Genomic DNA, 27,190 nt, shown 5'->3' with positions numbered 1-27,190 from the left:
ATCAACACAGAAGGCGAGTGATTTCTGCATTTCCAACGGAGGTACCCAGTTCATCTCATTGGGACTGGTTAGGCAGTGGGTACAGCCCACGGAGGGCGAGCAGAATCAGGGTGGGGTGTTGCCTCACCCAGGAAGTGCAAGGAGCCGGGGGCCTCCCTCCCCCAGCCAAGGGAAACCATGAGGGACTGTGCTATCCAGTCCAGATACTATGCATTTCCCAGTTTTTGCAATCCACAGACCAGGAGATTCCCTCATGTGCCTACACCACCAGGGCCCTGGGTTTCAAGCACAAAACTGGGTGGCTGTTTGGGAAAGACACTGAGCTAGCTGCAGGAATTTTTTTTTTGTACCCCAGTGGCGCCTGGAACCCCAGCAAGACAGAACCGTTCACTCCCCTGGAAAGAGGGCTGAAGCCAGGGAGCCAAGTGGTCTTGCTCAGCAGGTCCCACTCCCACGGAGCCCAGCAAGCTAAGAAACACTGGCTTGAAATTCTCGCTCCAGCACAGCAGCCTGAAGTTGACCTGGGCCACTAGAGCTTGGTAGAGAGAGGGGCATCCGCCATTACTGAGGCTTGAGTAGGTAGCTTTTCCCTGACAGTGCTAAGGAGGGTGGGGAGTTCGGACTGGGCGGAACTCACCACAGCACAGCAAAGCGGCTGTGGCCAGACTGCCTCTCTAGATTCCTCCTCACTGGCAGGGCATCTCTGAAAGAAAGGCAGCAGCCCCAGTCAGGGGCTTATAGATAAAACTCCCATCTCCCCGGACAGAGAGGGCACCTAGGGGAAGGGGCAGCTGTGGGCGCAACTTCAGTGGACTTAAACGTTCCTGCCTGCTGGCTCTGAAGAGAGCAGCGCATTTCCCAGCACAGCGCTCAAGCACTACTAAGGGACAGACTGCCTCCTCAAGTGGGTCCCTGACTCCCGTGCCTCCTGAGGGAGACACCTCATACAGGAGAGCTCTGGCTGATATCAAGTCAGTGCCCCTCTGGAACGAAGCTTCCAGAGGAAGGAGCAGGCAGCTATCTTTGCTGTTCTGTAGCCTCTGCTGGTGATACCCAGGCAAAAAAGGTCTGGAGTGAACCTCCAGCAAACTGCAGCAGACCTGCAGCAGAGGGGCCTGATTATTAGATGAAAAACTAACAAACAGAAAGCAATAACATCAAGATCAACTAAAAGGACCTCCCCTCCCCCAAAAGCCCATCCGAAGGTCATCATCCTCAAAGATCAAAGATAAATTCATGAAGATAAGGAAAAACCAGCACAAAAACGCTGAAAATTCCAAAGACCAGAATGTCTCTTCTCCAAATGATTGCAACTCCTCTCCAGCAAGGGCACAAAACTGGATGGAGAATGAATTTGACGAATTGACAGAAGTAGGCTTCAGAAGATGGGTAATGAGAAACTCCTCTGAGCTAAAGGAGCATGTTGTAACCCAATGCAAGGAAGCTAAGAACCTTGATGAAAGGTTACAGGAGCTGCTAACTAGAATAACCAGTTTAGAGAAGAACGTAAATGACCTGATGGAGCTGAAAAACACAGCATGAGAACTTCGTGAAGGATACACAACTATCAATAGCCAAATTGATCAAGCGGAATATCAAAGATTGAAGATCAACTTACTGAAACAATGTGTGAAGACAAAATTAGAGAAAAAAGAATGACAATGGAACAAATAAAGCCTCCAAGAAATATGGGACTATGTGAAAAGATTAAACCTACAATTGATTGGTGTACCTGAAAGTGATGGGGAGAACGGAAACAAGCTGGAAAACACACTTTAGGATATTATCCAGGAGAACTTCCCCAACCAGCAAGCCAGGCCAACATTCAAATTCAGGAAATACAGAGAACACCACTAAGATACTCTTCAAGAAGAGCAACCCCAAGACACATAATCATCAGATTCTCCAAGGTTGAAACGAAGGAAAAAATGTTAAGGGCAGCCAGAGAGAAAGATCACGTTACCTACGAAGGGAAGCCCATCAGACTAACAGTGGATCTCTCTGCAGAAACCCTATATAAGCTGGAAGAGAGTGGGGACCAATATTCAACATTCTTAAAGAAAAGAATTTTCAACCCAGAATTTCATATCCAGCCAAACTAAGCTTCATAAGCAAAGGAGAAATAAAATCCTTTCCAGACAAGCAAATGCTGAGGGATTTTGTCACCACCAGGCCGGCCTTACATGAGCTCCTGAAGGAAGCACTAAATATGGAAAGGAAAAACCAGTACCAGACACTGCAAAACCACACCAAAATATAAAGACCAATGATACCATGAAGAAACTGCATCAACTAATGTGCAAAATAATCAGCTAGCATCATGATGACAGGATCAAATTCACACATAACAATATGAACCTTAAATGTAAATGGGCTAAATGCCCCAATTAAAACAGACAGACTGGCAAATTGGATAAAGTCAAGACCCGTTGATGTACTGTATTCAGGAGACCCATCTCATGTGCAAAAACACACATAGGCTGAAAATAAAGGGATGGAGGAACATTTACCAAGCAAATGGAAAGCAAAACAAACAAACAAACAAACAAACAAAAAAGCAGGGGTTGCAATCCTAGTCTCTGATAAAACAGACTTTAAACCAACAAAGATCAAAAAAGATCTTTTAAACCAACAAACATCAGTGCAACAAGAAGAGCTAACTATCCTAAATATATATGCACCCAATACGGGAGCACGCAGATTCATAAAACAAGTTCTTAGAGACCTACAAAGAGACTTAGACTCCCACACAATAGCAGTGGGAGACTTTAACACCCCACTGTCAATATTAGACAGGTCAACGAGACAGAAAATTAACAAGGATGTTCAGGACTTGAACTCAGCCCTGGACTGAGTGGACCTAACAGACATCTACAGAACTCTCCGTCCCAAATCAACAGAATATACTTTCTTCTCAGCACCGTATAACACTTATTCTAAAGTCGACCACATAATTGGAAGTAAAACATTCCTCAGCAAATGCAAAAGAATGGAAATCATAACAAACAGTGTCTCAGACCACAGTGCAATCAAATTAGAACTCAGGATTAAGAAACTCACTAAAAACCGCACAACTACATGGAAATTGAACAACGTGTTCCTGAATGATTACTGGGTAAATAACAAAATTAAGGCAGAAATCAAGAAGTTCTTTGAAACCAATGAGAACAAAGACACAATGTACCAGAACCCCTGGGACACAGCTAAAGCAGTGGATAAAGGCCTCCATGTCTCCTCCCTGGAAACAAAGATTCTGAGGACGCTCCTTGAAGGCACCTCAGAAGGTCTCATTGCCCATATGGATGGCCCATTCAAAAACTTCTTGTATCAACGTTTCCTCCTTCCCTCCTGGATCCTCAGTTCTGCTCCTAGAATCACTTCCTAGAAACCCTCTGCACCAGAACGTTGCCTCTGGCTCTTCCTTCACAGGACCCCAGGCCGCAACAGGCTACTTTAGGCAGCATCATGGCCTACATCTTTGTGCTAAGAGTAATGGGAAGCCATTGAATGGTCAGAAGTGGGTGCTCGATCAAATCTATGTTCTTAGGTGGGCACGGTGGCTCGTGTCTGTAATTGCAGCCCATTGGAATGCCAAGGCGAACAGATCACCTGAACTCAGGAGTTTGAGACCAGCCTGGGCAATGTGGCACACACGGATGGTCCCAGCTACTCAGGGGGTCAAGGTGGAAGGGTAGTTTGAGGCCGGGAGGTCCAAGATGCAGTGAGCCATGCTCATGCCACGGGACGCCAGCCTCACAACAGAGTGAGACCAAACAAACAAACAAAAAACCCCCAAAAACCCAAAACATGATCTTGTTAAAGCCCAACCTGGCGCAGTGTGGAGAATGATCCAGGACATGGGCAGGGACGGGCAGTTGCACATGGAAGACCATTCTGGAAGTTCTTGCAGGAGTCTGGGCAAAACGTGAGGACAGACTGGATGGGGGTGTTTGCTGTCTGGATGTCCCTCTTTGCCCCTCTATTACTCGATAATCTTCTCCCAATCTGCACACAGGCCCCTCTGACACTAGTCAGCCTCGAGCGTCCCATGTCAATCCCGGGCTCTGACTCGCAGATGGAAACCACACCTGTGCTCAGCCAGAGCCAGACATGTACAAGCTTTCTGTGGGTGCCCCAGTGGGGTTGGTGGGGTTTTGAGGTCTCAGGGAAATGACCAGCTGGGAAAGTGAGAGTCCAGTGAGCAAGCAGGAGGGGCCATGGAAGCCTCGTTTCCCGAGACCCTGGAAGAAGGATCATGAGGAAGGGAAGTCAGGCACCCAGAGCCCAGGGGAGCCTCCATCGGCACCACAAAGGCACAGCCATCAGTCAGTGCTGATTGGACCCAAGTCTCCAGGACACAAGATGGGGAGAGCTGGGTGGACCTGAGACATCACCTTGTCCAGGTACCCTTCTACAGCTGATGAGGAAACTGAGGCTCAGAGAGGCGAGGTCTCGTGACCACAAGCGGGGTTGAACTCCTGGACACACCTCAAGGTTCCTTGACCTGTTCCTGGCATCTCCTTTCATTTTTCCTTTCTTCCCAAATTAACCTCTTTCCAACACAGCACTTCAAGTTCCCCTGGAACTTCATCGGTCCATCGGTGTCCCCTGGTCTGGAAGAGCACCGACCACTTGCCAAGGCCCCCACCACTCTGCTGCCATCACAACCACCATCACCACCATTACGAGAAAAACTTGAGACTGATGGCCCCCAAAGCTTGGAAAGAGCTGAGAGACCAAAGAATGACTCGAACAAGTCCAGCTTGATGAGTAGGTGAGTTTATTGGGACTTACACACAGGTCAATCCTGGGCGGCGACAAGACAGCTCTAGAGATCTGAGCTTCCTCCCAATGCTAAACTGCTTTCATGCTAATTTTCTGACTGTTTACTTACCGGGTAAGAGCGATGGGACTGTTTTCATTGGTTGGTTCTCACATACTCTCTGGGAAGTTTGGGTTCTCAGGGACACCTGCTCCTCAGCTGGGGACCATGGCCATGGCCCACCACCTGCCCTTCAGTGTTCAAGCAGGGGACATGCACCCTTTAGTAACCTGGAGGGGACCCATCACATGACAACCACCCCAATGACCATCATCAGGAAGCCGCTGCCTGACTGAGATATGCCCCCAGGAGGACAAGGGAGAGTGGATGCTGGAAAGACAGGGCAGGGGACCATCACCAGGGAAAGACTTCATTCTTCGGAGGACATTGAACCTGGGGCTGGGTCTGTAGTGGAGCCGCTGTTTCTTCTCCTGTATCCAACTGTTCTAACTCTTGGGCTTTCTCCATTTTCAGCTCTTTCTTTTCCTGGCCTTCTCATTGCTGGTTCCTTCAAGCCTCCTCTCTATTCTTCCGTCAATATATTCTTTTTTTTTTTTTTTTTGAGATGGAGTCTCGCTCTGTCACCCAGGCTGGAGTGCAGTGGCGATATCTCGGCTCACTGCAAGCTCCACCTCCCAGGTTCACGCCATTCTCCTGCCTCAGCCGCCCAGTTAGCTGGAACTACAGGCGCCCGCCACCATGCCCGGCTAATTTTTTGTATTTTTAGTAGAGACGGGGTTTCACTGTGTTAGCCAGGATGGTCTCGATCTCCTGACCTCGTGATCCGCCCGCCTTGGCCTCCCAAAGTGCTCGGATTACAGGCATGAGCCACTACACCCGGCCCCCCAATATATTCTTTAGTCTAAAGTAAACTGCTTCTTCCCATTCCCCACACTCTCCAGTTCCCATTTTTCCCTTATTGCAGGCTCCAATGTTCCTGCCTTCTCCTTGCTGCACTGCCATCTGCATTAACCCCTCCCCTGCTGTGCTCAGCTATGGAAATGCCAAAGTCCCTAACACTCAGTTCCATAAACTTTACCTCACCCTCTTTATCCCCCTAATAAAATGTTTGCATTTGGGTCAAAAGCGATGGCTCACGCCTGTAATCCCAGCACTTTGGGAGGCCAAGGTGGGCAGATCAAGAGGTCAGGAGATCGAGACCATCCTGGCCAACATGGTGAAACCCCATCTCTATTAAAAATACAAAAATTAGCTGGGCATGGTGGTAGGCGCCTGTAGTCCCAGCTACTTGGGAGGCCAAGGCAGGAGAATCGCTTGAACACGGGAGGCAGAGCTTGCAGTGAGCTGAGATCGCACCATTGCACTCCAACTTGGCGACAGAGCAAGACTCTGTCTCAGAAAAAAAAAAAAGTTTGCATTTTGTCCTGGCCCCTGCCAGGCATATCTCTCCTGGTGGCTGCCCTGCCCTGTGGTCACAGTTCTTGGTCCGCCTGCAGAATCTTATAATTATTGTTGAGAATGTTTAGCTTCTCCTCCAGCTCCTGAGCCACCTTCTTCAGCTCCTCAGCTGTCTCTGACTTTGCCCCCTCATGTAAGTGCTTTGATTCGTACACGAGGTAGACTACATCCAGCACAAGAAAGAAGCTTACAGGGGCCACATCCGTGAGCTTGACTCCTCTGCTCATTTCCAGGATGCTGGGTTCATTAACCCTCTCCACCTGTTCACCGCTTTCAGCTGAGATTGGCTCAGTGACCCGGGGGCGTGAGGCTGAGGCATGCGGTACTGACTGAAGATTGGCTCTGGCTCGTCTGAGGGCACGGATGTCCTTCCCAATGCCTCGTGTGAGTTGGTAAGTATTGCCAGCTAAGGAAAGAAAGTTGGATATGTTCTCACCCAAAAACTCCCTCACCTCCTTCAATTTGTCAAGGCTTTTGATGACCAGGTCGTGGGCTTGGGCTTGTGTCCACCACTTCTTTCCGTAGTCCATGGTACTGCTGGTAATCCCGGTCAAAGCGGCTGTGATTCCCAACTCCATCCCAGGTTCCAAGAGTACAAGGCTGCCTCCCTCTGTGAAGGGTGCCAGACCCATGCCGACGAGGGTCAGGATGCCAGAGGAAATGCTGAGAGAGCCAGACACCACATTGGCGATGGTGGTGCCTTTGTGGACCTTCTGAACCCCATCTGCAAGGGCACGGAGCCTTCTTATGTTATCCTCAAGCTCACTTTTCAACCGAGGAAACTCTTTCAGAAACCAGTTTCTGTACTGCTGGCCTTTATCGTGCCAGTTTTTGTCTTTCATGATCATTTGTCTTGCAAGGTTGTCCAGAGCTTTACGGAGCTCATCTGCCTCATTCCTGCACAAGGAAAGGTTAAAGGATTAAGAAATGCAGTTTTGGCTCGGTGTGGTGGCTCACACCTGTAATCCCAGCACTTTGGGAGGCCAAGGCGGGTGGATCACAAGGTCAGGAGATTGAGACCATCCTGACTAATACGGTGAAACCCTGTCTCTACCAAAAATTCAAAAAATTAGCCGGGCGTGGTGGTGGGCGCCTGTAGTCCCAGCTACTCAGGAGGCTGAGGCAGGAGAATTGCTTGAACCGGGAGGCAGAGCTTGCAGTGAGCCGAGATCGCGCCACTGCACTCCAGCTTGGGCGACAGAGCAAGACTCCAACTCAAAAAAAAAAAAAAAAAAAAGAAATGCAGTTTCCCTGTCTGTGAAATGAGCTCCATGTGATCTCTATCCTGTGTAAATTGCAGAGCTTTCACTATCGATCAAATAGAAACAAATTTTACAAATGGAATTAATTATCTTTCAAACTCAAACACATTTTGTTCATCATAGATACTCCTCAATATTTATTCCATATGGAAATAAATATCTTAAAGGCATCTCAGATGCTCTTTCATGGTAGGTGTTTGATAAAGATGCCTCCTCATTCAAGGGCAGGTCAACACCGTGACTGCCAAAGTGTTTGGAGAGGGAAAACTCTGCAGATGAACAAAGAGCAGTGAGAGTGAGACAAAGAGACCTTATTCCCAGGATGGCAGGAAAGTGAAGCATGAACTTTACCCAAAGAGAGGCCTTCCCTTTGTCCTCAGCTCCTGGGAAGTGATCTCCAGGCCCCTGGAATGTCCTGCCTGGTAGGAACATCTGTCTTTGCCTGGTGATTTGGCCACGGGACCGTATAGGAATCTGATGGATGATGGGGTTTGGGGCTATTTGGTGTCTTTCCTGATCCCAGAGGACCCGGGGACTAAAGGGGTTAGACCTCAGGGAGGGGCTGGAGACTCCAGGTCAGCCATGAGGGCAGCTTGTGATCCAGCCCCAGCAGATACTCTGGACACTAAGGCATGGGTTGAGAAAGAAGGACTTTCTCCTTGACCAACTCCAGCTGGGCTCTTCTGAGCCTCTTCTCCACTAGGCGCCGACCTTGGCCTTCCACAGCCACCCACTGCTTGCTGGACCTGCACCACCCAGCTCAGCAAGAATCTCCCCAAGTCAGTTTAGGGAGGGTCTTCCCCCCTTGCTGTCTGATTACGCTTTGCTATCTGATTATGCTCTTCACCCCCACCATTGATGGGTGAGTGTCTGACCTGCCTTTAGTGAGAATCCTGTTAGGCCAATTTAGCAGGAACCCCCCACTCTGGTGTCTCCTATCAGTCCTGTTCCATCTCCCGCCCCCACCCTGGTGTTGGCTGTGACTCCCCCTCTGTCTTTACTATATTTGGAGCTGGGCTCAGTCTCCCTCCCCTGTAACAACAATCCTGAAAAAAGGCTTCATTTCTGGTTTAATGTGATTCACAGGAATTTTTCCTTAACTGGGTGAGCTTCCCTGGTTGGCAACACCGCATGTGTTTTGTCCCACATTCACACAGGAGAACACAGCGTCCTGAGGACAATGAAGCTTCACACTTAAAACCCTCCCAAACTCTGCCCCGTGTGTCTCTTTCTTAGGCTGATTTTAATCTGTGTTCTTTCCGTGTGATCAACCACAATTGTGAAATAGCAGTTTTCAGTGAGTTATGTGAGTCCTTCCAGTGAATTACAAAATCAAAGGATGGATTTAGAAATCCCCTTAAATTTGCAGGTGGTGTCAAAGGTAAGGGTGCCCTCAGACATTGCAGTCTGGCTATCTCTGAGTACTTTGAATTCAAACAAAAACAAAACCCCGGAGAGACAGGAGTTCACTTTGCCTGGCATCTGCTCCCTTCCAATGCCTCATGCCCTTTCACCTGGCTGAAGGCTACTGGTTCTGGCCACTGCCCCAGCTGACTGGAGTGGGAGATCTGGCTATTCATTCTGGCTCCACATGGACGCTCCAGCCACCTTACTGCCTCCTGACCTACCACCTGCACCCCCAACCTTCCAGGTCTCACTCGCAGGTGTCACCAGCCTAACTGATGCCTTAGTAGTGACAGCTTCACCTGTGTGCACACCAAGGCCATTTGCAATTTTATGGAACCTCTAGAAGATTCAAAACACTTTCAGAACCACCTATATAAATTGCTAATGCTGAAAAGACCTGAATTTGGACAAGATGGTAGAGGAAGTGTTTTCCTCCTTGGTTGGGAAGTTGTGAGTCTGCTCAGTATCCCTGAAATTACACAAATTGGCAGCAACTAATTCTACTATGAAAATGGTCACTAAGACATACTGCTTGTCAATGTCAGGGGTTTCTCTGTGTAGAAGAGAAGAAGGTCTCAAAGGGTAGCCCAGAACTTGCCAGTTCCAAGGCGTGGTGTGAGAGACACAGGCAACCATGACCCTATATGCCCATGAGTGTTGGGATCATCCAGACAGGGAAGAAATATCCCTCTCCCACTCACATGTCCTCTGCAAGTTCATGACCTCCTTAAGTTTCAAGCCCTTGGTGCCTCTCTTTCCACACCCTAGTCCCAGCCCTGGTGCCCCAGCCTTCCTGCTTGTCCTACAACCAAGGCTGACTCTTGCTCCATCCTGACTCCAGGCTCTGACGCTGATCCCGGTCTCTCTGGGCCTTTGGGCAGGATCTTGGTGTTGGTTCCCCACCTTTGACCTGGAGTTGCCTCTAAGGCCTTCACCACACTCCTATCACATTGAGTTGCTATTCCTATTAGACTGATGACAGTTTCCAGTCTCTGACATAAGCCCAGAGCCCAGGGACTGGACACAGACAGAGCTGGAAAGAGACCCAGCGCTGTGCAACTCCACTCCAGCCTCTCGGCATCCTGGACCAGCAGAAGGGTCCTGCCGTGTTTATGGAATTCCTCAGATGAGAAAAAGGGCTCCAGCCAGCATCCCCAGGAACACACATTGGTTAGGTCAGGATTTTTCTGACTTGTCCCAAAGGTCAAGTCCTGCTGGGCTCCCATCTTCAAGAAGAAGATCCTTAACCCTGGTTCTGTTTCCACCAAGCTTGTAAGATGTTAACGTTAACTGTGCACCTACTGTGTGTCAGTCATTATGCTAAGCACTTTACATGCACGATCTCATTTTTCTCACAATAAAACTCCATTGATGAAGAAAGGCTGAAAGTGAGAAAGTAACTGGCAAAGTTCCCATCACCAGCAGATGGCAGAAATGACCCTGTTCCTGTGGGCTTCCTATCCCCTCAGCCTGAGGCTACTCACTGCCAGCGAAGGACATGGAGGAAATATTCTTCCTGGAGTGCCAAGAAGGTCATCCTCAAGCCCAGCAGAGGGGGCTGCCTGGAGGAGGTGTGCCTGTCAGGGAAAACTAGCCCAGGGGAGAGCTGGGTGGCATCGCCGGAGTGCCCAATGGAGGTAACCCCATGGAGCTTACCTGGGCAGTTCAGCAGCAGCCACGAATCCGTTCCAGGCCTCATTATCAGTCAGCAGGAGTAGCAGATTCTGTGTGCTCACTTTTTCCTTGAAATACTTAATGGCATCCTCAATAAAGATACTGCTCTCTAGTTGGAAAGAAGAAAGGATAAGGTTGGAGGAAAGTGTGGGAGTGCATAACAGCCATTGCATAAGAGATGACTACATGTTAATTTTCCTGGACAGCTGTGATGTGGGACTTGTTTTATGGAGTCATTAGTGCTATAGAGGGAATTGTGTGCCCCCAAAATTCATATGCTGAAGCTTTAAACTCAGGTGACTACATTTGGAGATCTGGCCTTTAAGGAAGCAATTAAGACTGAATGAGATCACAAGGGTAGGGCTCTAATTCTATTAGAGGGCTAGTGTCCTATTGTAAGAACAGAAAGGGACACAAGAAGACTGTGTGAGCACACAGTGCAAAGGCAGCTTCCATAAGCCAGCAAGAGAGTCCTCCCCAGACTCCAACCCTTTTGGCACCTTCACCTTGGACTTCTTGCCTCTGGATCTGTGAGAAAATAAAAGCCAGATGTTGAAGTCACCCAGCCTGTGATATTTTACTATGGCAGCCTGAGAACATTGAAACACCAGGGGAGTGCCATGGTGCTTTGGAGAGGAATGAATCCTTTTCAGCTCAGCACCAACATGAAGTGAGCCTTCCAGGCCAAGGAAGTGGAAACATCCCAGTGATCACTTCCATCTGCCACATGCCTGTTGGGTCAAACACTTTATACCAGTGTCTTCAAAATGTGAATATCAACACATCATTGGGTTATGAAATTATTGGTTCAAAAGCAGCATTTTAAAAAGAAAATCAATTTGAAAATATCAGAGTGTACCAAGCGTAGCAGGGGTGAGTATTGTTTTTGTGGGTTATTTCAAATATATATCCCTTAATGTAAATTCCTGGAATCCAGATGTGTTTAGGCATTCAGAATTTCCACTATTTTAGAAAGGACACGGGGTGCATATGGTATATTCCTGACCATTCCCAGCAGAGGCTGGACTGCTCCCTGTAATCACACCCACACATGTTTCAACAGTGAAACAAGCAAATATTCACATTAAATGTAAAAAATAATGGTAGGTCTACAAAGAACTCAAGTCAGTACAGAGCAGGATTACTCCTGAAGTCAGCTGCCACCAAAACGTGTGGTTTGCAGGGATCTGGGAATTATGGAATTGCAGATAAGGAACTGGGGACCAGTATGTATTTGTGTGTGCACTGAGGCATGATGTAAAATTGTTTCTTGCCGTGCACACACAAGAGACCTCATTCTTTTTTTTGGGGGGATGGAGTCTTGCTCTCTCACCCAGGCTGGAGTGCAGTGGTGCGATCTTGGCTCACTGCAAGCTCTGCCTCCTGGGTTCATGCCATTCTCCTGCCTCAGCCTCCTGAGTAGCTGGGACTACAGGCGCCTGCCACCAGGCCTGGTAATTTTTTTTGTATTTTTAGTAGAGACAGGGTTTCATCGTGTTAGACAGGATCGTCTCGATCTCCTGACCTTGTGATCTGCCCGCCTCGGCCTCCCAAATGTTGGGATTACAGGCGTGAGCCACAGTGCCCGGCCACCTCATTCTTAATTCACAGATGAAGAAAGTAAAATCCAGACAGCGAGAGTCACCGCCCAAAACCATCAAGCAGGAAGCTCAGGATTTGACTCCAAGGCCAATGTTTCTTTGACATTCTCCTTAAACTCCTTAACATTAAAACTCCTTATGTTTTGAAAATGCCTGTGGTCTCTGCATTCTCCCTTATAGCTTACCTGTGGGGCTATTTAAAGTTTAAAAATAATGTCTCAAACTCCACAGCATTGAGTACAACTACCATGCAAAGGAGATTCCTCCTGCTGGTCTTGGGCACTCTCAGATGGGCAGTGGAGGGGGTTCTTCGACGGGGCATGGGGGCGGGACCCTCAGCACTGATCCTTGAGGCACCTCCATGTTGCCTCTGTCCTCTGCAGGCTGGTCTCAGGGTACACGGCTCTCCACTGTCACCTCTGGACCCAGCTGGGCCTGTTATTAAACCACAGATCATCTTGTTTTGGGGGGAGAGTTTTTCCTCAGTCCCCCAGCCCAGCCCTTCGTAAGGATTCCGGGGTCGGCTGAGTGCTCTCGGCTTCTAATCTTCCCTGCCCTCCCCTCGTCTTGGACAGGACTCAGCACAGCCCAGTTTGCTGTCCAGGGCGGCTCCTGAGCAGAGCTGACTTGGTTGCCGTGGCAACTCTGTAAGGGGAGGAAGCCCTCCTGAGGAAATGGGGCTTAGGGAAATGAACGCAATGCTGACTTGGCTGGGCGAGCGATTGTCTTGTTTTTTCTTTTTCCTTCTTCACCAAAAGGAGGAAGGAAACCCAGGTTTGGATGGAAGGAACCTCTGGCACTAAATCTGTGTATTTCTTGATGTGGTGGGGCTGGTGGATATAAAAGCAAAATTAAAACAAAAACCAGCCCTGAAACATTCCTGGACAGGCAATACCTACGAGGCCTTTAGAACAGCTGTAACCCCCTGAAACTGCAAGCTATGGGAAACTCAACTGGGGTCATATCAGATGGGTACTTCTGTTAGATACAAACAAAACTTAAAGCCAGCTGACAGAGGGCCATGCTGAGATGTGGATACTGGGAGGTCACAGAAGAAACAAGAACTCCAGGCAGCAGGTTCACATGACAGACACAGAAGGAGTTGCTGAAACCACCTGTAGGGACAGGGGGAGGGGATGGGCCCACAGGATCCTGACAAACAGGAAGTGGCCAATTCAGCTAAGACCAGTGAGATCCAACTCGGCGCTGGGTCTGACCCACGTTTTGCCTCACACTCAATCATACCCTCCTTGTCTCACTAAACCCCACACCCACCCGCACCACAGCCGTTCCATGTATGCCCATGTTTGGTACAAAACTGCATTGCCCTCCCAATTCCAAGAAATCCCCACCTCTTCCCAGAAATCCTTATGCTTACTCCACACCTTAATTTAATAAACCAGCAAAGACAAGAACCCCAAACTCCACTGGGCCCGACTGGCTCTTCTGAGTCCGCCTGCACTCCCACCCCTGAGCCTGCACTTCTGTTTTGCACTAAAAGCTGATTTGCTTTTGCTTTGACTTTTTTCTCTCTTCAGCATCAAAAACCTGGGCAAGGCTAAGTTCCGGTCTCACCTGTATTCGGAGACCTCCCTAAACTCACACTGGCACCAACGTGACCAGGGATTTTCCAACAAGGTAAACCCAAACAGGCAGTTTTGTAAGTGCAACCAATCAAATAATGTCCTTACTGCAGTTTCATATTCACCCGATAAACCTTGTCTCCGACACTTTTTCACCATAGCACGAAGCCTCCTCCAGTTTGCTGTTTCCCAATTCAGCAATCCTTTCTTACTCAATTAACTCTTTAAAATTCTATTGGGCCTCAGATTTTTCTTTGACCGGGGGTATTTTAGATGACTGAACTCAGCCCCTGCCTGAGGCAGTCATCCCTGGTAAGCAGGTGCTTGTGATGGGCAGGGCAGGGCGGGTGCCCTAACACAGCTGGGGGGGGACGGGGTGGCTTCCACCTGGAATCAACAGGGGACCAGTAGAGGGGATGGGAACCAGCCCTTAGGGAGGCCCTATTGTGTGGCAGGCACTGGCCAGGCCAGGTAGCCGTGTTATATTTGATCCTCAAGACAACATGGGGAAATATTATTCTCATGGTACAGGAGAAGGGAGGTAAGGAGCGCCAGGTCACACAGAGGGGATGTGGCAAAGGACAGACCGGGGTCCAGTTAAGCTGGAAGCTGAATCAGGCCCGATACATTCCCACAGGGCCACTCAGAGCAAAGGGGCTAGGGCAGGGCAAGAGCTGGAGGGAGGGGACCAGCCTCAGGTGGAAACACCCCAGGGTCAGCTTGGAGCAGAGCGGGAGGTGACAGGTCGGGGCTGCTGGTCAACCTCCTCTCCCAGCCCTCCTCTCCTCCTGGACCCTGCTCTCCCCACACTCCCCCCCCCCCCCGCTGATTCCACTTCCCCAAGGATGTCCTGCCCCACTTGAGTCATTTGCTAGGTGCCAGGGTAGGGAGGAAGTGGGCACCTGGGCCGTGTCACCCTAAGGAGAGGTCAGGATGCAGATGACCCCCAGACCCCTGGGTCGGGGGACTCCACGTGACCTCTTCTGCTGCTTTGGGCAGACTCATTGGCCTCCTAGTCCATCCGGGTTCTTCTGGGGCTCACTCAGCTGTGGAGGTGCCACCCTCCATTCTAAGTGCGAGTAGGAACCAGCAGGGAAGAGGAGGTGAGCCTACCTGGGTCCATGGTGCCAGCAGCCCAGTCACCGAGGGGCTTACTTTGAGGATCTCCAGTATCTGTCCCACTTGGAACGTTTTGTTGCACCCTTGAGGAGGAGAAAACAAATTGTGGGATCAAATGTGAGCCACCAGTGGACAGAGGGAGGCTTGCTTGAGCAGCCGGGGCTCTGCAAATCTCTCTGGGGTGGAAGCAAACACCAAGACCAACCTAAACCAGATTGTTTGTCTATCACTGAGCCCCCATCATCTGCTATTTGCAGACACTCACCTCGCTCCAGCTTCCTCTGCCCTCACTCCCACACCAAGGAAAAGTGCACTCATCCTGTTGGGGTATGAGGAGAAGATAATCAGAGGACGGGCAGCCATCTGATCATTACAGAAACTACAGAGTCTATACACAGAAATAGAGATGGGGAGGAAGGTTCTGACAATGACCAGGGCCTGGGAGCATGTGTGATAACTAGCTGGTGATAGCCAGTGTGTATTGCATGTCTGCGATGTGCAGAGCCTCTTACATGTGTCTCATTCGATGATCACACACAGGCCAGGAGATGGGTACCACTTTCCCATTCAAACACAGAGGAATCCACAAAAGTTAGGGAACTTGCCAGTGTTTTTACAATAGTGCTAGAGCCAGGACTTCTGCTTCAACCCCATGTTTTCAATGACTGTGCTCTACTCCCTTAAATATACAATATTGAGTCATGTATACACGCTCATGGTAAATGACTCCTCATTGCAAATCCTTGTCTCACACTCTGTGCTCAACTCTTCATCTTGGTGAATTCACTGGTGCTGCACTGGACAGCCTGTGTCCCCGTTGCTTCTCTAAGATTCTTTGTCCCACAAAGACCTGGATCTTGCCAGATGCCAGCCCAGCCCCTGCTGTGGCTGCCAAGCCCTCCTGGTGCTGCCCTGTCCCCTCTGCTGTCTTTCCCTAGCTGATGGACCTCAGGGTGTTTCTAATTCCTCATATAAATTATGCTACAAAGAACATCCTTCTTCGCATAAAACTTTGCCCACATTTGAGATTATTTCCTTAAGATATTTGTAGGAGTAGAATGAGCAGGTCAGAGGCTATCAACAACTCAAAAGGCTTTATACCTAGAGCCACACTGCAGGCAAATTGTACCAATTCACACTCAAACTAGCAGTATATGAAGATGCCCTTTCTTTCAGTCTTACTGGCTCTCAGTAGTCTCTTGTTTAAGACAAAAAAAAACCAAAACATATACACAACATATAAATATGAGAACTAAATATACTTGTTATCAACACCAATTAGTACAAAATTTAAAGCACAAAGGTAGCAGTTGGGATGTGAAGCACTGAACGAAGGAGAAGGAGGATTAATATTATCATTTTTTTAAAGAGGGAAGTTAAGAAATACTGGGTACAACTGAGGGTATATGAAAGTTGTAAGTAAATTATTTACAGCTACAAAGTTGCTAATGGAAGACATAAAACTGGTGATAGAATGTTAGGAAAAGGTGGAGAGGAGAGATAGAGGGAGGGTACAAATAAGATGAAAATGACTAATAATGATACTATAAATAATAACAATACCATTTCAGGCCCATCCCAGTTAGGGGCGGCTCCAAGCATTACCATTGTTCTTTTCTCACCGTGTGTCTCTGCGCACTCCCTGGCACACCCACTTCCAGCAGCTGGTCTTTGTTTGCAGACTTTATTTTAACAGCTCAGTGGTTCCCGGGCCCCCTGATGGGGTTCCATCCTCCAGCTCTCATACTAAAGCCCCCTCCTCAAAAGCCACTCGCCTCCCTCTTTCCCTTTCCTGCCTTTGTCTCAGGGTTCAGACACACAGATGTTTGTCTTCTGGGGACTCCATGCAGCAAGGGTAAAAGGGGGACCCAGTCCTGGGCAGCAGTTCACCAGGGGAGTATGCAGAGGGGCGTCTGGGCCCTTCTTGCTGTAAGGGACAAGGGTGACAGGAGAGGGGCATCCCTTCGCCTTCTTCCTGCTTTGTTCACTGTGTGATCCCCTAGGCCAGGGGAGCCATCTCAACACCATCTCATGAGCCATGAGGACACAGGAGGACCAGGAGAGAGCAGAGGAGCAGGAGGGTAGAGAGAGCTGGTGCCTCGGATTCCCCCGACACTTGTGAGGAGCTGCACCCTGGATCCCATCCTCCTTGGTCATTGTTGGCCTGGCTCAGACCCTGACCTGGAGCCTCTGCTGAATATTGAGGCCGGATATTGACCGTTAGCCTCAACTAGGATACAGCGGGTCCTCCCTGGGCGAGTCTGCCGGTTGGTCAATTCCGGGAAGTGACTTTGGTTCCTAGAAGAAGCCCAGATGGCCCTGGCCCAGCCCAAGCCCAGTCCAATTGTGCAGCCCAGACAGGGAGCCCTCCCTCCCGCCTCAGGGCTCTGAGCCAAGCTCACCAGATGCAGAGGACAGAGACTCTCAGCAAAGCAGCTCCCTCCATGTCGCTGCAGGGCCTCCTCCTTGAGCAGGAAAAGAGGGGTTGAGACAGTGTGCTCCTCCTGAGAAATCACCATTTTCATTTCATTTTTTTTTTGAAATGGAGTCTCGCTCTATCACCCAGGCTGGAGTGCAGTGGGGCGATCTAGGCTCGCTACAAGCTCTGCCTCCCGGGTTCACGCCATTCTCCTGCCTCAGCCTCCCGAGTAGCTGGGACTACAGGTGCCCGCCACGACACCCGGCTAATTTTTTTGTATTTTTAGTAGAGACAGGGTTTCACCATGTTAGCCAGGATGGTCTCGATATCCTGACCTCGTGACCACCTGTCTTGGCCTCCCAAAGTGCTGGGATTACAGGCGTGAGCCACCGCGCCCGGCCTTTCGTTTAGTTTTTAATAAACAGTTTTGCTCTGTCACCCAGGCTGCAGGGCTTTGACACCATCCTAGCTCATTGCAGCCTAGATCTGTTGGGCTCAAGTGATCCGCCTCCTTCAACCTTCTGAGTAGCTGGGACTACAGGTACACACTACCATGCTGGGCTAATTTGTTAATTTTTGATTTCATAGAGACAGCATCTCCTGTGTTTCCCAGGCTGTCTTGAACTCCTGGCCTCAAGTCATCCTCCCGCCTCTGCCTCCCACAGCACTGGGGTTACAGGCTTCATCATCTCTTTTTGGTGAAGAACAAATAAGACCATGACTCAGATTTCACAGAAATTACCCCCCTGATTTCATGGACTTTTGGCAGCTCTATCAGGTTTTTTACAGGGGAAAATACTCAGGCTGGGAGGGGAGGTGAATTTCCCAGAGTCACACAGCTCTTGGAGGGCAGAGGGGAGGCCAACATCTGCCCTTGTGACTCTAATATTGAAGCAAAAATGTTTGATTTTAATAATCCAAAAGTTTCCAGGTTTGATTCTCCTTCTATGAACACAGAGATCTAAGCTCTCACTCCTGTAGTTATACTCACAATTCCACAGTGTGGCTTTTGAATCTCATGATTGCAAAGCTGGCATCATGCCACAGGCACCATTCTGCAACGCACCCTTCTCACTCCCCTGTCTCAGCCACGTTTCCCATTAGGGACACAGCACAGCCTGTTTCTTCTCCATCACCCCAGAAGTCTGAACAGAGGGACAGAGGTGAGGGCCAGAGACGTGGAGTCCTATGATCTACCTGCTCAGCCTCCTGACACGGGACCCTGGGCAAGTCATTCCGCTCCCAGGGCCTCAGTTTCCCCACAGGGCCTGGCACAAGTTGGTGCTCAGACTCAGGGTGGGTGAGATGACCTCTGAACTCCTTGTACCTGAAAAAAAATTCTGTTGCCCCCATTGGGCCTCAGCAGCAGCACCCTGGGGCCAGCCTTGGTGTGGCCTGGCCATAAGAACAGGCTGGGATCTGGGTCACCTCCTCTCCTCCACCTTCTTTGGTTCCTTCAAATTTCCCAAAGAGATGGGCACCCCCAACACAAACCTTCCTTCTGGGTTCACTCAGTCGTGTCTCAGCAGTCAAAACCAGGGCTGAGCCCAGGGAGCTTTGTGAACCCATCTGAGCTGTTTCCCCAACCCTCTATAGTTTAAGAGCCCAGCAGGAGAGGGGAAGCAATCAGACTCAAGCCTGGGTGCAAATCCAGGCTTTGCCGCTACTTTCCTGTCTATCTGAACCAGTCACCTAACCTCTCCCAGCTTATCTACAAAAGCTGTGAGAATAAGATGGAGGCAGGTCAACTGTCCCCAACTTACCAAGGAATCTTCCCCTGGCAGAGACTGAGCAAGATCCAGCTGTTCTGAGCTGTGTGGATCCCACCTCCAGTTATGCGTCTGTATAATAACCAGACAGGTCCTCCAGTCCCCAAGATATACCGAGGAATTCGAAAGGGAAAGTGAAAGTCACAACTTCCCAGCAGCTCATGACCAAGCACAGCAAACACGCTCCCCTCCACCTTCAGTCCAGCCCCACCCTCCTTGCTGCTGCCCTTAGAGGAGCAGCCTGAGACCAGACATCCAGATCCCTCTCATCCAACCCACCTGCCTCGCATCCTCAGGGCTGGGGGTCTGCTGTGGTCTCAAGGAGAAAGACCTGCCACTGACATACTATGGGACCCTGCAGATTACTCCCCATCCTCCCGTGCATCCACATTCCCCTGATGCCTGCCTTACTCCTGCCCGTGCCATCGGCATAAGCACAGTCTCCCACACATGCCTTGTGGATGCTTATTGTATATTTATTGTAATGCCGTTGGGGTTATTTTGGTTATGTTTTTGAGACAGGGTCTCAGTCTGTCACCAAGACTGAATTGCAGTGCCACAGTCATCGCGCACAGCAGCTTCAAACCCCTGGGCTTAAGCCATCCCCCCACCTCAGCCTCCTGAGTAGCTGGTTCTACAGGTATCAGCCAACCACCCAGCTAATTTTTAAAAAAATTATATTAGAGATGGTGCCTCACTATATTGACTGGGCTACTCTTGAACTCCAGGCCTCAAGTGATCCTCCCACCTTGGCATGAGCCACCGCACCAGGCCTGCTCTTGTTGAAGGCCATGCCTTGTGGCTTCTAGATATTTGCTTATATGGGGTCTTCTGCCGGGAGCACCTGCTTCCACCGCCTGGAAAAATCATGCTCATCGTTCAGTGACAAAATCAGGCATTGCCTCCTTTCAGAGATCCCCCAGCATCCTCCCCAGCAGAGGCCACTGCCCCGTGTTCCACTCCCGAGGCACACAGGGTGGAGGGACTAGAGACCACTGCTCAGCCACACTTCCATGACTAGGAAGTCATGCAACCAGATTGCTATTGGACTTTTGTGCTTTGCCCCAGGCAGAAGGGCCTCAAAGGCAGCTAAACCACAGAAGCCAACCTGACCCTTCCATGGGGGCCTATTTCATCCTGAGCAAACATCTCTGGGGGCATCGTGTCCACCTCACCCCACCCATACACACACACACACCAGCTTATGAGGCAGGAAGAGAATGGTGATTACACAGGGACTGCACAATACACTTTGCAATACATTCCATTTGCAAATGCTTCTCCATTTGATTGAGTTTTATAATCATCCCCTCAATGGGCCAGGATTATGATCTGATTTTGCAGATGAGGAAACTGAGGCAAGAAGAGAGGACGTTGCTTTCATCCAGCAACTCAGGGAGGAGGCAAGACTTGTAAACCAAAGAGGGTCTGGGACACGTCTCAGTCAGTTTAGATGTTTACTCTGCCAAGGTTGAGGATGCACCCAGGAAAAAGTCACACAAGTCACAGGAGGTTCTGGGGTCCACTCGTTTTTCACAGAGGGTTTTGAGGCCTCCAGTATTTAAATGTGTAAAATCAGGCAGGAGTGGAAGGAGGAAAGGAAAAAAGACAGGATAGGTAATGAGGTGAGTGGTCACATTCTTGTGAAGCTTTGATTAGCCCTCCTTGAATCCACAGGTTGTCTATGAAAGGAGGGGGTAGAGGAACAGTCAATTATTCATTCGTCTCATGCACAGTTCGTCTACATTTTATATAAGATAAAAATGAACATAGAGTAGAGGAAGCAGGCATATGTGCATTTTTCTGAGGGTGGGCAGAAGTCTTGTTATTTATCATGTACCAGTAAAGATAAGTTGCTAATTTGCATTGTCACAATGAAATTACACAAAGTCTGCCTCAGGGTAAAAACTGCTGGGACCCACAAGGAGTTTCCTTGTGAGCAATTTGTGAAGGAGGCTACCTGGGGAACATGTTGCCTTTTGTCTTCGCAAATATCTGCTTAGAAGCAAAAACAAAGGCAGGTTTTGGAGTGACTCCGTTTCTAAGCTTAACTGTTTCCAGTGAGTTTTGGGGTCCCAAGATTTGATTTTCCTTTCACGTTTTCTCCTTGTTCTTCAACAACTTTTTTTTTTTTTTTTTTTTTGACAGATTCTTGCTCTGTTGCCAGGCTGGAGTGCAGTGTTGTGATCTCGGCTCACTGCAACCTCCACCTCCCGGGTTCAAGTGATTCTCCTGCCTCAGCCTCCCAAGTAGCTGGGACTACAGGCACGCACCACCAAGCCCAGCTAATTTTTGTATTTTTAGTACAGACAGCGTTTCACCATCTTGGCCAGCATGGTCTCGATCTCTTGGCGTTGTGATCTGCCTGCCTCGGCCTCCGAAAGCGCTGGGATTACAGGCGTGAGCCACTGCGCCTGGCCGTTCTTCAACATCTTTTGGACAAAACACTGTAGAAGCAAATGAGTCTCTGGTCACGAGTTTGGTCTGAATTCTATTGTAGCAGGACGAGCTGCAGACAAAACCTCTCAGACACCGAGTAGTAGAAGGAAGGGCTTTATTCAGCTGGGAGCATCGGCAAGCTACTGCCTTAAAATCCGAGCTCCCTGAGTGCACAATTTCTGTCCCTTTTAAGGGCTCACAACACTAAAGATTTCACACGAAAGGGTCATGATTGATTTGAGCAAGCAGGCGGTACGTGACAGGGGCTGCATACACAGGTCGTCAGGGGGGAACAGAACAGGGCAGGGAGTTTCACAATGTTCTTCTACATAATGTAAGGAATCTATGAATAACATCGGCTTCTGAATCATAAGTTGATTTTTAACTAATGGGTTTAGGCCAGGCGGGCCCAGGCCTGGTTTCGGGCCTGGCGCCGGGCTGCCTGTCTTTGGTTTTACTTCCTTGTTGTTTTTTCTTAAAACAGGTACTGAGTACAAAACAATATAAAAATAATATGAGAGGGTCTTTCTCTTCCTTCACTATAACACAGTTTTCAAGCTTCAGTTTGCAGGACTTTAAGAAAAGCACAGTTTGGATTTCTGGTGATTCCAAGTCAGAAAAATGAGAGAAAAAGAAAAGCAAAATATTAGTTTGGAGACTTGTGGCCAGGAAAGAATTCAGTATGTAGTCCAGATAAACTGTGGACAAACAATACGGCTAGAAAACAATGGAGAAAGCTAGAATCCAATAACAGGCATTCTCTAGTTTCTTTTGAAACATACCTTTTCTCTCTCTAGTCCTGTATTTCTACCAAAGACAAATCATAGTAGGGCTAATTTATTTGCAACAGAAGTTTTAGTCTGATGGTTCTTGGCCTGATCATTTGTATAAAGTGCAGCAAGAATACTTATTTGGCATATGGGCTCCTTTTGGAAATTGACTTTGCTACAATATTTTCTTTTTCATAAGATATCTCAGAGTAGGCCTTTTAAAATCTCAAGCTCAGCCAGTGATTTATATTTGCCTGCAGATGCCTATATATATTAGGTGAGTTCCTTTCTCCTCAAGGTCCCAAGGTAACTTGGGCTTCCTGGGCCTGTCAGAAAGTGACATTCTTTACTTACCACAGGACAGGAACCCTGTAAAGGAACTGTATAGGCAAAGTTTGAGGAAAATTTTTCAAAGAGGCTTTCATCGGCTCTATAAGCCAGCCACCATTACTCAAAGCAGCCTACGTACATGTGGAAATATGCCATGCCAGTCAAAGCCTTGGTAAAATAACCAGTGTCTCTAGTTGTGTCCTGTTATGAAAGAAAACAGATTCCAACTGAACTTATGCAAATAACTCTATTGCCATGAACTAAGAATACTCACAAATAGTTTCCAAATTCTGGAGAAATCAGATAGTGAGAAAGAAATATGCTTCAAATTTTGCTCACAAGAGTATACTTTATTCAATTGTTAAAAGCTACATGGAGCCCAAAGGGAAAAAGAAGTTTTCTTGACTAAGAAAAACAAAACAAAAGAATCAGTCGTATATTAAACAAAAAGTCATTAAAAATTTATTTTTGTTCTCCATTAATTCATTCCCATGTAATAACCTTCTTCCACTTGATATTGGGTTAGCAATCTTCATGACCACATCAACTTTTGAATTACAGTCCTGGAAGATTTATTTTTTTCTTAGTCCGATGGCACAATCTGTAGCTGATCATAAACTGTTTTTTGAGATGTAAAGTAAACACTTTTTGCAGATAACAAAAGTATGAGAACAGCATTGGTAAAGACACATTCGACAAGGAAATTACTTTATTTCTGTGGCAAACAACTACTTAACATAATAATAATAATAGTTTCTGATAACATATGCCAAGACATATTAGACCTATAGAATCTCGTACAATTTTGGAACACATATTAATAACACATTTATATAAACATAATCCAAAGAATGTTAAACACCGTTTTATATTTGTCATGCTGGACCCCTATGCTAATGAGCTGACAGGACACAGACTTGGAGAGACAGAAGAAAAGACCTGGAGACAGCAGGTGAGACATAAGCTTTATTCAGGGAGCTTATGTACAGGTTGCCCAGGAGCAGCAGGCAAGACAAGAAATCCCCTCCTGTTTGTCAAATGCATGCAGGTTATATGATATTCTTCCCAGAGCAACCTCCACTTAGCACCTCTGCCAGGAAACCTCCACCTAGCCCAAAACAAAAGGTCTTGATTCCTTGCACAACCTCTGATCCAAGGAACAGAGTTCTTCATAAGTATGATGTAAACATCTGGATTGGCCATTCCCGGGATCCATACCTTGGAACACTGAGCAAAAATTCACCAAGGAATGTAGGGTTATTCTTAGGGGATGCTTCAGTTATTGCTGTCTGACGGGACATGCCCACCATGCTCTCCACACCCCTGCATAGCCTTGAATGGCCCTCACAATCTCATCACACTGTTTTTCTGTGATTTTCCTGGGGCCAGTTTTGTGGAAGAGCATTGCAGCCAGACACCCCAGCAGCAACACTAACCTCAACAAAGGATTATGAACGCAATTGCAATTACGCTAGATACAAAGTTTCTCCACGTGTCTGGGAGTTGATTAAACCATGAGGTGATAAGATCATAAGACAAAGACTCTGTGGCTGGACTCTGGGTATCTAACGTCAGCAGAGCCTGTGTTATGTTATGAGAGTAATGAGGGCTATATACACAACATTTTGTTTTAATTAATGCACAAGCTCCACCATGGGCAGCAGTTGTATGATTTTGGGTCATACGATTTTGCAGAGGAACATGCCTGATCTGGGTGGTTTCTTGATTGGGAAGTGTAAAACGATGGTGAGTATCATTGAAGGCTGCAGCTGTGTGTTTAGCCAGCACACGAATTGCAGCTCTGCATTTACAGTTGCCACTTTGGAGGCAAAGATGGCCAAGGGGTAGAACCACCAGTATGCACATATCTGGTAATCTCTAGCTTTTACCGTTTTCCAGTTACTGGGGGTCGTGTCTAAATGGGGAACTATATACTGTGGCAATTAAGGATGCCCTGAGATGCATCTGCCAGTCCAGTTGAATGGCAAATAAGGCCAAGGGTGGGTGACACAGGCCCACAGCCATCTCCATCTCCATGGGGATTGGTAGGCACCCATATGCAGAGACTTATTCTACCAACCCAGCCATGTATCATTGCTTAACCCAAGGGCTTGGTGACATTGTTGTACAGGTAGTCACCCCATATTGTGGGGTTAGCCGGTGATGTGCTGTCATTGTGTCTACCAATACACAGTTGCACAACTGACTACCTGTATTTGTACTATGGTTGTTCTGTCTGCTGTTATAGCTAAGGTGCAAGTTTACCCATGCCCCACTGCACCAAAGCAATTGCAAACCTTCCCCGGCCTCTGGGAATAGAATCTTCACTGCACTACAATTGCGCAGTGAAGAATTAACTTTATCCCAGGAGAGGTCTTCCCATTGTCCCCTACCCCTGCGAAGTGATCTCCAGGCCCCTGGAATGCCCTGCCTGGTAGGAATGTCTTTGTTTCCCTGGTGGTTTGGCTACAGGACAGTATAGCAAATGTGATGGATGATGGGGGTTTGGGGCTATTGGGTATCTCTTCTCACCACCAGAGGATCTGGGGACTAAAGGTGTGAGACCTCAGGGAGGGGCTGGAAACTCCAGGTCAGCCATGAGTGCAGCCTGTGGTCAAGCCCCAGCAAACACTCTGGACACTAAGGCATGGGTTGAGAAAGACTTTCTGTTTGACCAGACTCCAGTTGGGCTCTTCTGAGCCTCTTCTCCTCTAGGCACCAACCTTGGCCTTCCATGCCCATCCCGTGCTTGCTGGGCCTGCACAACCCTGGCTCAGCAAGAATCCCCCCGAGTCAGTTTAGGGAGGGTCCTCCCTTCTTACTGTCTGAGCACACTTGCTATCTGATCACTCTCCTCACCTGCCCCTTGATGGGTGAGTGTCTGACCTGCCTTTAGGGAAAATCCTGTTAGGCCAGTTTAGCATGAACCCCCGACTCTGGTGCCTCCTGTCAGTCCTGTTCCATCTGCTGCCCCTCACTCTGGTGTTGGCTGTGACTCCCCCTCTGTCTTTACTGTATTGGGAGCTGGGCTCAGTCTCCCTCCCCTGTAACAACAATCCTGAATAAAGGCTTTCTTCCTGATTTAATGTGATTCACAGGAATTTTTCCTTAACTGGGTGAGCTTCCCTGGTTGGCAACACCCCATGTGTTTTGTCCCACATTGACACAGGAGAACGCAGCCTCCTGAGGACAACGAAGCTTCACACCTGAAACCCTCCTAGACTCTGCCCTGTGTGTCTTCCTTAGGCTGATTTTAACCTGTGTTTTTTCCCTGTGATAAACCACAGTCATGCAATAACAGTTTTCAGTGAGTTACGTGAATTCCTCTAGTGAATTATAAAATCTAAGGACGGATTTAGGAATCCCCTTAAATTTGCAGTTAGTGTCAAAGATAAGGGTGCCCTCAGACATTGCAGTTTTGGTAACTCTGAGTACTCAGAATTCAAACAAAACCAAAAACAGACCTACACAAGATCACTTTGCCTGGCATCTGCTCTCTTCCAATGCCTCATGCCCTTTGACCTTCTGACTGATGGTCACTGGTTCCAAGCACCGCACCAGTTGACTGGAGGAGGAGACCTGGCTATTAGTTTTGGAGAGTCCACATGGATTCTCCAGCCACCTTACTGCCTCCTGACCTACCACCTGCACCTCCAACCTTCCAGGTCTCACTTTCAGATGTCACCAGCCTAATCGATGCCTAAGGAGTGATGGCTTCACCTCTGTGCTTGCCAAGGCCATGTGCAATTTTATGGAGCCTCTAGAAGACTCAAGACACTTTCAGAACCATCTATATAAATTGCTAATGCTGAAAAGACCTGAATTTGGACAAGATGGTAGACGAAGTGTTTTCCTCTTTGGTTGGCAACTTATGGGTTTCCTCAGAACCCCTGAAATTACAAAAATTGGCAGCCACCCATTCTGACTCCGGAAGTGGTCACTAAGCCACACTGCTTTCCCAGGGTCAGGGGCTACTCTATGTAGAACACAAGAGGGTCCCAAAGGGCACGCAAAAACTCCACAGTTCTCACAGTTCTCAGGCTTGGTGTGGGGGAAACCGTCACTCACGGCCCACTATGCCAATCACTGATGGGATCAAATCAGGGAGGGAAGAAATATCCCTCTCCCACTCATGTGTCCTCTGCAAGTCAATGACCTCCTTACGTTTGGTGTCCTTGGTGCCTCCCTCCTCTCACCCTAGTCCTGGCCCTGGTGTCCCAGCCTTCCTACTTACCTTCCAATTAGGCCCACTTATGCCCATCCTGACCCCTGGTTCTGCCCCTGGTCCAGGTCTATCTGGACTTTTCGGCAGGATCATGGTACTTGGTCCCCCACCTTTGACCTGGAGTTCACTCTAAGGCCTTCACCATCCTCCTATATGATTGAATTACTATTCCCATTGGACAGATGCCAGACGCCAGATGCCAGTCTCCAAGGCATAATCCTAGAGGCCCACAGCTGTGCAGGGACAGAAGCCAGGATCCATCCCAGCTCTGATCAACTTCACTCCAGCCTCTCCATGTCCTGGGCCAGCAGAAGGGTTCTGCTGTGTTTGTGCAATTCCTCAGATGGGGAG

At 48.5% G+C, this 27,190-nt stretch overlaps 1 protein-coding gene across 5 annotated transcripts, besides 4 other annotated features; it reads right to left on the bottom strand.

Moving 5' to 3' along the window:
* APOL1 (apolipoprotein L1) lies at positions 4,764-19,156 on the bottom strand. 5 transcript variants are annotated; one of them, NM_145343.3, is made up of 7 exons: positions 19,070-19,156; positions 18,298-18,451; positions 17,290-17,352; positions 15,153-15,206; positions 14,882-14,970; positions 10,567-10,693; positions 4,764-7,138 (listed from the first exon to the last, which is right to left on the bottom strand). In NM_145343.3, the coding sequence occupies exons 2-7, from the start codon at positions 18,324-18,326 to the stop codon at positions 6,256-6,258; spliced, it is 1,245 nt and encodes a 414-aa protein (NP_663318.1). In that variant the 5' UTR covers positions 18,327-18,451; positions 19,070-19,156; the 3' UTR covers positions 4,764-6,255. The 5 variants fall into 5 exon arrangements, with proteins under 5 accessions (NP_663318.1, NP_001130012.1, NP_003652.2 ...); NM_001136540.2 differs by lacking the exon at positions 18,298-18,451 and having other exon boundaries at positions 17,290-17,391; NM_003661.4 differs by lacking the exon at positions 18,298-18,451.
* Positions 13,297-14,088: an enhancer, noted in NCBI's record as "H3K27ac-H3K4me1 hESC enhancer chr22:36654247-36655038 (GRCh37/hg19 assembly coordinates)". NCBI's record gives its function as "activates a minimal SCP1, AML or CMV promoter by ChIP-STARR-seq in primed H9 embryonic stem cells {active_cell/tissue: H9 hESC(primed)}" and the evidence as "EXISTENCE:reporter gene assay evidence [ECO:0000049][PMID:30033119]".
* Positions 13,387-13,476: a silencer, noted in NCBI's record as "silent region_13662". NCBI's record gives its function as "represses an Ori minimal core promoter by ATAC-STARR-seq in GM12878 lymphoblastoid cells {active_cell/tissue: GM12878}" and the evidence as "EXISTENCE:reporter gene assay evidence [ECO:0000049][PMID:35858748]".
* Positions 16,795-17,294: an enhancer, noted in NCBI's record as "H3K4me1 hESC enhancer chr22:36651041-36651540 (GRCh37/hg19 assembly coordinates)". NCBI's record gives its function as "activates a minimal SCP1, AML or CMV promoter by ChIP-STARR-seq in primed H9 embryonic stem cells {active_cell/tissue: H9 hESC(primed)}" and the evidence as "EXISTENCE:reporter gene assay evidence [ECO:0000049][PMID:30033119]".
* Positions 19,044-19,103: an enhancer, noted in NCBI's record as "active region_18920". NCBI's record gives its function as "activates an Ori minimal core promoter by ATAC-STARR-seq in GM12878 lymphoblastoid cells {active_cell/tissue: GM12878}" and the evidence as "EXISTENCE:reporter gene assay evidence [ECO:0000049][PMID:35858748]".

Source organism: Homo sapiens, chromosome 22 (genome assembly GCF_000001405.40).
Source record: "Homo sapiens chromosome 22, GRCh38.p14 Primary Assembly".
In the NCBI taxonomy this organism is placed as follows: Eukaryota; Metazoa; Chordata; class Mammalia; order Primates; family Hominidae; genus Homo; species Homo sapiens.
This window is presented reverse-complemented; position numbering and strand designations above follow the sequence as displayed.